This window comes from Homo sapiens, chromosome 7, assembly GCF_000001405.40.
Source record: "Homo sapiens chromosome 7, GRCh38.p14 Primary Assembly".
NCBI lineage: Eukaryota > Metazoa > Chordata > Mammalia > Primates > Hominidae > Homo > Homo sapiens.
In genome coordinates, this window is record NC_000007.14 from 101,792,369 (window position 1) to 101,805,979 (window position 13,611).

At 47.4% G+C, this 13,611-nt stretch overlaps 1 annotated feature.

The window, feature by feature from the left end:
* Positions 11,497-12,046: an enhancer, noted in NCBI's record as "NANOG hESC enhancer chr7:101447145-101447694 (GRCh37/hg19 assembly coordinates)". NCBI's record gives its function as "activates a minimal SCP1, AML or CMV promoter by ChIP-STARR-seq in primed H9 embryonic stem cells {active_cell/tissue: H9 hESC(primed)}" and the evidence as "EXISTENCE:reporter gene assay evidence [ECO:0000049][PMID:30033119]".

Sequence of the window (13,611 nt, forward strand, 5' to 3'; positions counted from 1 at the left end):
AATGCTTGTAGAAGAAAGGAAAAACATCTCATATAAAAATTTAATCTGAATGTTTTTGTTGTTAAAAGTCTCCTGTGAATCATGAATTATGAAAAACATGACCCAGGAAAGCTGTGAACAAGTTGATTCAAGTATCTCAGGCATGTGATGATCTCACGCCCCAGTCCAGCTTGGCTTCTGGGACGGTTAGGATTTTATCAGGTTCAGGGAACACTGATGGCCTAATTCTGGCTCCAGGCCTCACCCGGCTCTTTTCACACTGGCGCCAGATGTTTGGGAAGTTTTCAGGAAATTGTGGAAAACCAGACCTCAGGCTGGTCACCTTCCAGCAAGGTAGGAGGTGGCTGGTATGGTTTTCCCATTATTTTTTTCTTTTCCCTTTTTTTTTTTTTTGAGACAGGGTCTTGCTCTGTCACTGAGGCTGGAGTGCAGTGGTGTGATTTAAGCTGACTGCAACCTTGACCTCCCAGGCTCTAGCGATTCTCCTTAAGGATTGCAACCTCAGCCTCCCAAGTACCAGGGACTACAAGCCCACACCACCACACCTGGCTAATTTTTTTATTTTTTGTAGAGACGGTGTCTTGCTATGTTGCTCAGGCTGGTCTCAAACTCCTGGGCTCAAGCAATCCTCCCACCTCAGCCTCCTAAAGTGCTGGGATTACAGGCGTGAGCCACCGTCCACAGCTGCTCACCCATTCTTAAATACAAAAGGAGACCCTGAAAATAAACTGTACAGAGGGATAGATTAGACCTCATGACCCTTGACCTTTAACTCTTCACTGAGGAAGGAGCCCGGCTCCTTTTTTCCTACCTGCACTCATCAGACATTTATTACACGTGGTGGGGCGTGGTGGCTCACAGCTGTAATCCCGGCATTTTGGGAGGCTGAGGCGGGTGGGTCACCTGAGGTCAGGAGTTCGAGACCAGCCTGGCCAACCTGACGAAACCCCGTCTCTACTAAAATTACAAAAAATTAGCTGGGTGTGGTGGCGCGTACCTGTGATCCCAGCTACTCGGGAGGCTGACACAAGAGAATAGCTTGAACCCGGGAGGTGGAGGTTGTAGTGAGCCTAGATCGCGCCACTGCACTCCAGCTTGGGCGAAAGAGCGAGAGTCCGCCTCAAAACAAACAAACAAAAAGACATTTATTAGATGCCTACTATGTGCCAGGCCTGTAGAGAAATATGACAAGGTCTCCGCCCTGAGGTGGAGCTCAGGTCAGTGGAAGAAATTGGAAAATAACTGAAACACAGTGAGACCAACAGACTGCAGGCAACATCCGATTCTGAGATGAAATCCATGTGACGTGCTCTGAGGGCCAAAGGATAGCCTTGGCCTGGAGAGTTGGGCACCCTTACAAAGTGGGACAGAAGACATGCCCGTCCCTTGCATGGAGTGATTAAACCCCGGGCAAAGAAAGGAATCAGTGATGACTCTGGTGCCTGGGACGTTCAGATGCGGGTGGATGTTAGAAAACGCTTTAACAACTGTCCAATCAGAAGGGAGGGGCCCTGACCAGTCATGGTGGACGCTGGCCATTAAAGGACTGTGGGGCCCTATTGGTGTACATGGTGTCTGGGGAGCAGGGAGGAGGGAGGATTCTGGAGGGCTGGAGCACTGATGGAAGGATAGAGGCTGAGACTGGAAGTAGGGGCTTAGAGCTTAACTCCAGGGAAAATAGCGAGGAGCGTGAAAGACTTGCCGGAGAGAGGCCAGGCGGGGCACAGTGGCTCACGCCTATAATCCCACCACTCTGGGAGGCTGAGTCAGGTGGATCACATGAGGCCAGGAGTTTGAGACCAGCCTGGCCAACATGGCAAGACCCTGTCTCTACTAAAAATACAAAAATTAGCTGGGTATGGTGGTGCACACCTGTAATCCCAGCTACTCGGGAGGCTGAGGCCGGAGAATCGCTCGAACCTGGGAGGCGGAGGTTGCAGTGAGTTGAGATTGCACCACTGCACTCCAGCCTGGGCAACAGAGGGAGACTGTCTTCAAAAAAGGGAAAAAAGGAGAGATGCCAGAGGTAAGCATTTCAGGAGGCTCACCCAGGTGGCCCTGGAGAATGGCCACTGGGTGACTTGGTCCCTAGATCCTGTGAACTTGAGAGTATAGAACCCAAGGGGGAGGGAATGAAGGGAAATGAAAAGCAGAAGCAGGTTGGGAGCGGTGGCTCACACCCATAATCCTAGTGCTCTGGGAGGCCGCAGATCACTTGAGGCCAGGAGTTTGAAACAAGCCCAGGCAACATAGTGAGACCTCATCTCTATTAAAAAAAAAAAAATTTATCCAGGAGTGGTGGCATGTGCCTGTAGTCCCAGCTACTTGGGAGGCTGAGATGGGAGGATCCCTTGAGCCCAGGAGTTTGAGGGTACAGTGAGTTATGGTCGCACCACTGCACTCCAGCCTGGGCAACAAAGCAAGACCTTTTTCTCTAAAAAAGAAAAAGAAGGCCAGGTGCAGTGGCTCACGCCTGTAATCCCAGCACTTTGGGAGGCTGAGGTGGGCGGATCATGAGGTCAGGAGATTGAGACCATCCTGGCTAACACAGCGAAACCCCGTCTCTACTAAAAATACAAAAAATTAGCCGGGCGTGGTGGCGGGTGCCTGTAGTCCCAGCTACTCAGGAGACTGAGGCAGGAGAATGGTGTGAACCCGGGAGGTGGAGCTTGCAGTGAGCCGAGATTGCGCCACTGCACTCCAGCCTGGGCGACAGAGCAAGACTCCATCTAAAAAAAGAAAAAAAGAAAAGCAGAAGGGTCTGGGCTGTCGTTCCCAATCTTTCCCTCTTTCTGATGCACAGTGAGGGTCCAGTCACGTGGTGTCCACTTCTATCATCTCTCCACCATCCATGACCTAGAAGCTGCCCAAGGCAGAAACTGGGCTTTACGGACCTGATTTCTGTATCATCATTTTTTGTTTTTTTTTGAGACGGAGTCTCACTCTGTCACCCAGGCTGGAATGCAATGGCGTGATCTCAGCTCACTGCAACCTCCACCTCCCAAGTTCAAGCAATTCTCCTGCCTCAGCCTCCCGAGTAGCTGGGACTACAGGCACATGCCACCACACCCAGCTAATTTTTGTATTTTTAGTAGACATGGGGTTTCACCATGTTGGCCAGGATGGTCTCGATCTCTTGACCCTGTGATCCTTCTGCCTCGGCCTCCCAAAGTGCTGGGATTACATTGCACCCAGCCCTGCATCACCTTCTTAAGCCCCTTTTTTCCGGCCCCACCTAATACCACGCATGTCAGGGTTGCCTGGCCTAGCACAGCACAGCCTAGCCTGGAGGAGAAGTCCATACTTACCTATGCCTGGTGGGGGATGCCGCCTTCACCAAGGTGTGAGCCCATGGAGGCTGGCCTCCTTTAAGAGTCTGGCCAGAGGACTTGAGGTGGCCTAAACACACCATGAGCAGACTAATGATACCAAAGTGGAACCAGAATGATAAGTCCTAGCTCCCCAAAATTTGAGCATCTATTCTGTGCCAAACACTATAGCAGACATTTTATTATTTATATGTTTATTTATTTTGAGACAGAGTTTTGCTCTTGTCACCCAGGTTGGAGTGCAATGGCGTGATCTCGGCTCACTGCAACCTCTACCTCCCAGTTCAAGCAATACCTCAACCTCCTACGTAGCTGGGATTACGGGTGCCCGCCACCATGCCCAGCTAATTTTTGTATTTTTAGTAGAGATGGGGTTTCATCATGTTGCCCAGGTTGCTCTTGAACTCCTGACCTCAGGTGATCCACCAGCCTTGGCCTCCCAAAGTGCTGGGATTACAGGCATTAGTCACCCCATCTGGCCTATGCTACTTACTTCCAATACCCTACCATTGTCCTTTTAGTGATGACCATACCCAGGCGATCTCGATGCCCAAGATTTAAGGTGCAGGAAATCCCACTGGAGTTCAGAGCTGCTGCTTTTTTTTTTTCCTCCAAGAGAAATTGTTGAAGTCAAACTTGACCAAGTTCTTTCTGCAAACTGGATGCCTTCACATGCCTGTCTCCAGATCCATGCTTCAAGGCTAAGTGTTATTAATAAAAGTAATGCAGATTGGGAGGCCGAGGCAGGCGGATTATGAGATCAGGAGTTCGAGACCACCCTGGCCAACATGGTGAAACCCCTCTCTACTAAAAATAGAAAAATTGGCCGGGCGTGGTGGCGGGCATCTGTAATCCCAGCTACTTGGGAGGCTGAGGCAGGAGAATCTCTTGAACCCAGGAGGCGGAGGTTGCAGTGAGCTGAGATTGTGCCACTGCACTCCAGCCTGGTGACAGAGCGAGACTCCATCTCAAAAAAAAAAAAAAAAAAAAAAGCCATCCTGGCTAACACGGTGAAACCCCGTCTCTACCAAAAATACACAAAAATTAGCCAGGTGTGTGGCAGACACTTGTAGTCCCAGCTGCTCAGGAGGCCGAGGCAGGAGAATGGCGTGAACCCGAGAGGTGGAGCTCGCAGTGAGCCGAGATCGCGCCACTGCACTCCAGCCTGGGTGACAGAGCGAGACTCTGTCTCAAAGAAAAAAAAAAAAAGTAATGGAGAAGCTGAAGGTTACCCAACTCGTTTCCTGGGCTTGCTTCTCTCTGTCACAGTTCCCTGACAATGATGAAAGCCTGTTCTTTCCAGCCCTCGGCCTCTGTTGGTCCTCACTTTGCAAATGTCTTTCCCAATCTTCACCCACACCAGAAACTCCACGTCTCCCCATGAGAGTTCCCAGGACACCCCGTGAGCCGTTTGCAAGAGAGTGTATCACCTTTAACTCGCCCCTGTCTGTTGCAGGAAACAGGGGTCAGACTGTTCTACGCTTTGAGCACATGGCCTTTGAGGCTTCTCACTTGATCCTCAGAGCTAAATGCTCTCAGATCAGAACAGCAAAGGACTTCGGCCTCAGACCCAGCAAGAGATGTTGTCATTGCATACAATCAGCCAGGAATGCCTTCATTCATTCTACACATCTTTATTGACACAGCCTGGCCCTGAAGTCAAAAGAATGAGAAAGGAGGAAGACAGGCTTGGTGCCTGCCTCCCTGTGTTTAGAGGTTAGCAGAAAAAGAACTAAATCAGGGATGCATTAGAATTATGGTATTACGCCACCATGGAATACTATGCAGCCATAAAAAAGAATGAGTTTGGCCGGGCACAGTGGCTCACCCCTGTAATCCCAGCACTCTGGGAGGCTGAGGCAGGTGGATCACCTGAGGTCAGGAGTTTGACACCAGCCTGACCAACATGCTAAAACCTCGCCTCCACTAAAAATACAAAATTAGCCAGGCATAGTGGTGCATGCATGTAATTAATCCCAGCTACTTGGGAGGCTGAGGCAGGAGAATCACTTGAACCTCGGAGGCAGAGGTTGCAGTGAGCCGAGATGGCACCACTGCACTCCAGCCTGGGCAACAAGAGAGAAACTCCATCTCAAAAAAAAAATAAAGAAAGAAAGAATGAGTTAATGTCCTTTGCAGGGACATGGATGAAGCTGGAAGCCGTCATTCTCAGCAAACTAACACGGGAACAGAAAACCAAACACCGCATGTTCTCCCTCATAAGTGGGAGTTGAACAATGAGAACACATGGACACAGGGAGGGGAACATCACACACCGGGGCCTGTTGGGGGGTGGGGGGGCAAGGAGAGAGAGAACATTAGGACAGATGTCTAATGCATGCGGGGCTTAAAACCTAGATGACAGGTCGATAGGTGCAGCAAACCACCATGGCACATGTATACCTATATAGCAAACCTGCACTTTCTGCACATGTATCCCAGAACTTAAAATTTTTTAAAAAAATTATGGTATTATGCATACTAGGCTGGGTGTGGTGGTTCATGCCTGTAATCCTAGCACTTTGAGAGGCCGAGGGGGGTGGATCGCCTGAGCTCAGGAGTTCAAGACCACCCTGGGCAACATGATGAAATCACGTCTCAACTAAAATGCAAAAAATCAGCCAGGCGTGGTGGCGCACCTGTAGTCCAGCTACTCAGGAGGCTGAGGCAAGAGAATTGCTTGAGCCCGGGAGGTGGAGGTAGCAGTGAGCTGAGATCACGCCACTGCACTGCACTCCAGCCTGGGCGATGAAGCGAGACGCTGTCTCAAAAAAAAAAAAAAAAAAGAAAGAAAGAAAAGTGTGGTATTATGCATACTAACAACAGGGAAAAGTGAACCAGCTCCCAACTGAATCCTACTTTGCTAAGTTGTGTACATGTTTTCTTTATTCATTTCCATTCACTTATGTACAAGTTAAATATATATTTTTTAATTCCTGCTGTATCCGTCAGGGGACTAGCAGGAAACAGAATCAAACAGGGACGATTTAAGAGAAGTTAAGAAGGGACTAGGAGGCTGGCTGTGGTGGCTTACGCCTGTAATCCCAACACTTTGGGAGGATTGCTTGAGTCCAGGAGTTTGAGGCCAGCTTGGGCAATATAGCAAGACCCCATCACTATAAAGATTGTTTTTGGTTGGCCACGGTGGCTCACGCCTGTAATCCCAGCACTTTGGGAGGCCGAGGCAGGCAGATCACTTGAGGTCAGGAGTTCGAGACCAGCCTGGCCAGCATGGTGAAACCCCATCTGTACTAAAAATATAAAAAACTAGATTGGCATGGTGGTGCTTGCCTGTAGTCCCAGCTACTCGGGAGGCTGAGGCAGAAGGATTGCTTGAACCCGGCAGACAGAGGTTGCAGTGAGCCAAGATCGAGCCATTGCACTCCAGGCTGGACAACAGAGCAAGACTCTGTCTCAAAAAAAAAAAAAAAGGTTTTTTTTTTTGTTTTTTTTTTAATAGCTGGGCATGCACCTGTAGTCCCAGCTACTCAGGAGGCTGAGGCAAGAGGATTGCTTGAGGCCAGGAGTTTGAGACCAGCCTGGGCAACATAGAGAGACCCTGTCTCTATAAAAAAAAATTTTTTTTAATTAGCCAGGTGTGGTGGCACACTTCCGTGGTCCTAGCTACTTGGGAGGCTGTGGCAGGAGGATCACTTGAGCCCAGGAGTTTGAGGCTGCAATGAGCTATGATTGCTCCACTGCACTCCAGCCTGGAAGACAAAGTGAAATCCAGTCTCCAAACAAACAAACAAACAAACAAACACCTCACAAACAAACAACAAGCAAAGGACAGTTAGGAGCGCTGGTTAATCCGTGCTCTTTCAGGAAGCCAGGGTGCACAATTTACTCTCAAAATAAGAGTGGGCAGGGGTGGAGACGGTAGTCATTCATTACCATTCTCTCTATATTAATCGACTAAACCGATAACCACCAGCTGTCTCGCGTCTTTGTGAATTCACAGACATAATGTGTGTGCATCTGGGTCTTAACAAGAGATCATGGAGGCTGAGTAATGTTTGGGCAGAGAAAAAAATTATTGCATTAAGCAATATGATCTTCAAAAATTGACAGCTGGTGATATGGAAGCTTTCAATCTTTTATTTTGTCTTAGGCTGAGAGGCAAAGTCTGGTGTTTAGCTGTATTTTGTATTGATTTTCCAAATGACAAAGAAAATTTCAAAAGCTGTCAAACAAACACGAGACACTTACGAAGTGAAGCTGTGTTTCATTGGGATTTATGCTTTCTTCCTCATCTATTATGGATATTTCATTAGCGATTAGTCAGAAACTTTTGAAGCTAGCTTCGGAGTTTGTCATTTAGAGCTTTCATATCAATTTCCTTAAAACATAAGAAATAACATTCCTATAAATAAGGCAAAGGGCTAAGGCAGATAATACAGTGCGGAAGGCAAAACATAATTTCCAAACATATGCAATTATGAAAAATAGAATAACAAAGTAGGCAATGTTTCAAATGAAGTTCCTAAATGCACATTTCATTTAAGCTTAATAAAATATCACTTATATTGCAGTAATACCATTTAATTATTAAAAATTCTATCCAACCGGATTAATAACTATGTAAAAGATGCTTGTCTAAATTCGAAATTTTCCTCCACTCAGCAGCCTCTCATTATGAAGACTAGCCCTCTTTTAGAATGAATTTTCTTCTGTCCATCAAAAACCCTGCCTGTTAACTCATTTTTAACACTGTAAATTATTTATATCAGATGCTTGGAAACACAGAGCAAAATAGAGAAGATGTCACCCACGCATCATTTTATGTTCATTTTTCACCTACTATATCTTCTTAGGCTCAGGCAATTTTAAAAAAACAAATTTTTTGAGACAGTCTCACTCTGTTACCCAGGCTGGAGTGCAGTGGTACGATCTCAGCTCATTGCAGGCGCCAACTGCTGGGCTGAAGTGATTCTCCTGCCTCAGCCTCCTGAGCAGCTGGGAAAACAAGTGCATGTGCCACCGTGCCCCAGCTAACTTTTTGAATCTTTTGTAGAGACGTAGTCTTGCTATGTTGCCCAGGCTGGTCTTGAGCTCCTGGCCTCAAGCCATCCCCCTACCTCGGCCTCCCCAAGTGCTGGGATAGAAACTGGCCTTTATACATGCTAGGTGTCCCACAGACACTGGACATGTGTTATCATTTTTTTTTTTTTTGAGATAGCGTCTCACTCTGTCGCCTAGGCTGGAGTGCAGTGGCACAATCTTGGCTCACTGCAACCTCTGCCTCCCGGGTACAAGCAATTCTCCTGCCTCAACCTCCAGAGTAGCTGGGACTATAGGCATGTGCCACCACACCTGGCTAATTTTTGTATTTTTAGTAGAGACGGGGTTTCACCATGTTGACCAGGCTGGTCTTGAACTCCTGACCTCAAGTGATGCACCCGCCTTGGCCTCCCAAAGTGCTGGGATTACAGGCATGAGCCACAGCACCTGGCCGACATGTGTTATCTTAATTATTCCTTACAAGCTCGTGAAGCAAGTTTTATTGCCCCCATTTTATGGATGGGAAAAGTGAGGCATAAGGAAGTCATACAACCAGTACAAGCAACTGGGCCTCTTCTGAAACTTCACAATTTCTGCCTTTTCCTGCTCATCACACCACTAAAGCAACTTGTAATTATTACCGACTATAATTCCCAATGAATTCTGTGGCTTTGTGATTTGGCTTTTGTTGAATTATGAACAACCTGTTTTTGTTATTTTTTTTTTTTCTTTTTTCACCTAGAGTCTCGCTCTGCTGCTCAGGCTGGAGTGCAGCAGTACGATCTCAGCTCACTGCAACCTCCACCTCCCGGGTTCAAGCAGTTCTCCTGCCTCAGCTTCCCAAATAGCTGGGATTACAGGCATGTGCCACCACACCTGGCTAATGAATCATGAACAAGCTCAATTCCAGATAACAGCAATAGGGCCTGTCTCACCCATGATACACGTTGGGAATAGATGTTAAATTGATGGTTTTATTAATCAGTGACATGCCACGGAAATTCAATCTCACAGAGTTTGGGGACTAGACAACCAGACAGGATGTGCTGGGAAGTTTCCATCTGTGTTTAAAATATGTTTTAGAAGTGGCTGCTGGCCTATTGTGGTTGCTTTTTACTCAATGGTTATTGCAATCTTGGCCTCAGGATACCAAAGAGTAAGACTTCAGTTGCTCAGTGGGATCTGAGATGGGTAGGAAGGCGGTTTTTATTCTGTGCAACAAGACTCTTTGCTTCCTTCACTTAGTTTGGGCTCCAGAGCCTTTAGAGGATTTGGTGATTTCCCCCGACCACTATTTCTAGCAAGTCAGGAAGATGAGGCCAGTGGCTCAGGGGTTGAGGCCACAGCCTGGGAAAGGTAACGCCACGGCCAGGCACAGTGGCTCATGCCTATAATCCCAGCATTTTAGGGGTCTGAGGCAGGAAGATCGCTTGAGGTCAGGAGTTCAAGACCAGCCTAGGCAACATAGGGAGACCCCCTGTCTCTACACACACACACACACACACACACACACACACACACACACACACACATATACCTTTTTTTTTTTTTGAGACAGGGTATCACTCTGTCACCTAAGTTGGAGTGCAATGGCGTGATCTCAGCTCACTGCAACCTCTGCCTCCCAGGTTCAAACAATTCTCATGCCTCAGCCACACGAATAGCTGGAGTTACAGGTGTGCACCATCACACCAGGGTAACTTTTGTTATTTTTAGTAGAAATGGGGTTTCACCATGCTGACCAGGCTGGTCTCAAACTCCTGACCTCAAGTGATCCACCTGCCTTGGCCTCCCAAAGTGCTGAGATTACAGGTGTGAGCCACCACACCCAGCCAAAAAATGAAAAAATTAGCTGGGTGTGGTGGGGTGTGCCTGTAGTTCCAGCTACTCAGAAGGCTGAGGTAGGAGGATCGCTTGAGCCCAGGAGTTGGAGGCTGTAGTGAGGTATGATGACACACCTCACTGGGTGACAGAGAACGAACCTGTCTCAAAAAATTTGAAAACAAACAAACAAAAATTAAACCATATTGGCCAAGTGCAGTGGTTCGCACCTGTTATCCCAGTGCTTTGGGAGACCGAGGCAGGAAGATCACTTGAGCCAGGACTCTGAGACCAGCATGTTTCTACAATTTTTTTTTTCTGAGGTGGAGTCTCACTCTGTTCCCCAGGCTGGAGTGCATTGGAGCAATCTCAGCTCACTACAACCTCTGCCTCCTGGGTTCAAGTGATTCTCCTGCCTCAGCCTCCCGAGTAGCTAGGATTACAGGCACCCACCACCATGCCCAGATAGTTTTTGTATTTTTAGTAGAAATGGGGTTTCGCCACGCAGGCTGGTCTCGAACTCCTGACCTCAGGTGATCTGCCTGCCTTGGCCTCCCAAAATGCAGGGATTACAGGTGTGAGCCACTGCTCCTGGCCAAAAAAAAAATTTTTTTTTTTTAATACTAGCTCTATGTAGTGGCACACAGCCCTAGTCTCAGCTACTTGGGAGGCTGAGGCAGGAGGATCGCCAGAGCCCAGGAGTTCAAGGCTTCGCCACTGCTCTCCAGCCTGGGCGACAGAGGGAGATTTTGCTTCTGAAAAACAAACAAACAAACAAAAAAACAGAACCATATTGACACATTGTTATTACATCGCTATTAACTAAAGTCCACAGTTTACATTAGGGTTTACCTTTCTAGTTGTACAGTTCCGAGGATTGTGAAAAATGCATGTCACGTGCTTACCATTACAACATCACACATAATATTTTCCCTGTCCTAAAACTGCAGTGCTATGGCTCCATCCCTCAGGTATTTTCATCATCCTGAAGTTAAGCAAAAAATGATATTCCAGGAACAAGAAAGTAAGAACAAACACTACACTCCTAATGGGCTGAGACCATTATAGGATATGGATCTGGGCTGGTGAATGCAATGTTCTAATAGCAATGAAACAGAGTTATTGAAGGAGAGCAGGGCCAAAGATCCCTTCTGGAATGAGGAATAAGGAGGAAGAAAAATTAAAACCGTCACTGAGGGATGATTGTGCCAAGGTCTAATGTGTATTAACTCATTTAATCCTAACAAAGATACAAGAAGGTATGTTCGATAATTATCTTAACCTCTAGCATTGGATCTCGTTTTGAACACAGCCATAGGGATGGGTTAGGTAAGGTTCAGATATTACAGGTGAGGACAAGGTGACTCAGAGAGGTTAAGTAACCAGCCCAAAGTCACCCAGCCAAAAAGCAGCATGCAGTGCTTAGGGTTTGCACACAGGTCTGTCTGTCTGATGTCCACACCTGTGACCTTCTCTCTGCCCCATGGCGCTGGCTCCTCTGAGATGCAGAAGGGTGAGGATTGAGCTTTTTTCTTCATCTGCAGAGTGCCCGCTGCAATTTGTTCCAGGGAGCGCGAGGGAGGCAGTTTTTAAGAGACTCAGTAACAGGAAATTTGGTCTATTGTTTGAAACAAGAGGTGCAAACAAGTGCCCGCTTTGAAGTGCTGAATAACAAACTCTGCCGGGAGTGGAAAGGCAAGAGGCTACAAGATTCTTGAGTTGGTGTCAAATGCGCAAGACACGGGGCAGAGGGGAAGAGGCGGCGCAGGAGAAACTGGGGCAAGATCTGTTTGAAGAGAACGGGTCTTAAATAGATCAGGCTACAGGGGACAGCAAGGGGTAGGGGGAACCAGAGGGTCATTTCTTTCTTTCCTTTTTTTTCTTCCTAAGGGAGCCTGTGTGTGTGTGTGTGTGTGTGTGTGTGTGTGTCTGTGTGTGTGTGTGTGTCTGTGTGTGTGTGTGTCTGTGTGTGTGTGTTTTAAAAGAAAACATCACAATCACAGGTGGGGGTAAGAGGCAACCAGGTGAACAGTAAAACACAGACAAGTTTCAAAAGAAAACAAAACCAAACCCCACCACCTGGTCTGACTTGGTTGGTAATAAAACGCTAGCGGATAAACGGAGCTTGTGTAAACTAATCCCACCTCCCACTCACAAGTCAGTATTAAATTTAGGAATGAGAGAGTCTAAGATACCGACTTGGAATTACTTACAATTGTTTCACTAAACTGCTCGCCTTGGACTGTGTAATAGCACATTCATGACCCCACCCTCCCAGCCATAGCTGCCAGAATGGGATTGTTAATCAGATACTTCCCCAGACAGTCCATGAAACCAGACTCCCCTAAAGTGAAGATAGAGCCCACGGCAATTAGCAAGTAGATTCCCAATGATGACTTGGAAAACACACCCTTTTCTAGCTGCTTAGACTGCCAACCACCCGTCTTCCTGTACTTAAGGGGGACTTTTGACTCTTCCCGACGTCTCTCATTTGCAATCAATGTCTCATTCAAGACCAAGGTCAAGTTATCAATCTTGATTATAGATGCCCTGGACCGGGGTGTCTGGAGCCTCCACCGCCGCAGAGAGATGTCTGGAGACAAAGCCTCTACGGGGAAGGATTGCTGGCAAGCAGGTTGCTGCAAGGTAAGATGAAAGAATCCTTCCTGGGCAGGTAATACCCAGGACTTCCTGAAGGGGGGATATCGAGGCTCCCTTTTGGACAGCTCAGGTAGGTTCTGACCAGTTCGGGGACCAGGTGTGGCAAAACAGCTGCATGTAAGTCTGGGGTGGTACCGAAAGTCCACACTTTGGCTTACCAGAGAGTAAGTCGTTGTGGAGCAGTTCTTTTTAATCTCTCTGAGCCTCAGTTTCCCCCTGTGTAAAAGGGAGCTAATGCTTTGTACCTTGCAAAGCTGCTACTGGGGTTAGAGGGAAGCTGTGCAGAGCTCAGTGGGCAATAACTGTTGTGATTAGGTGGTTTTACAGGCAAAGATGACTCTTGCAGACTTGTGACTTCCCATCTGGCCTTTCCAACCTCAGGAGGACAGTAGATAACAGCGATGTCCCTTCGTGGCTCTATTCCCAGTCCCTTGCCAAGAGTTCTCATAAACATTTTATTCTGGGGAGGCGTGAACTCAGAAGTCCCCCAAAGGGAAAGAAGTCTAAGAGAGGTGTATGGCTGAGTCAGAACGAGGGACCCTGAAGTCTTAAGAACATTGTCTTCTAGGTAAATCTTGACTCACAAATAAAACCGAGTAGTACCAAATACGAATTTTCGTGTGTACATCAAATAATTGGCTTAATAGGATCAAACCAATTACACATTTTCCAGGTCTTCCCAGTTGAATTTTAAGCTCTCTCCCGGGCAGGAGCTACTGTATTTCGGGTGACTTTATATACACTCCGCCACCTTGCCTTCTTGCCTGCTCCAGCAAACACACACACACACACACACACA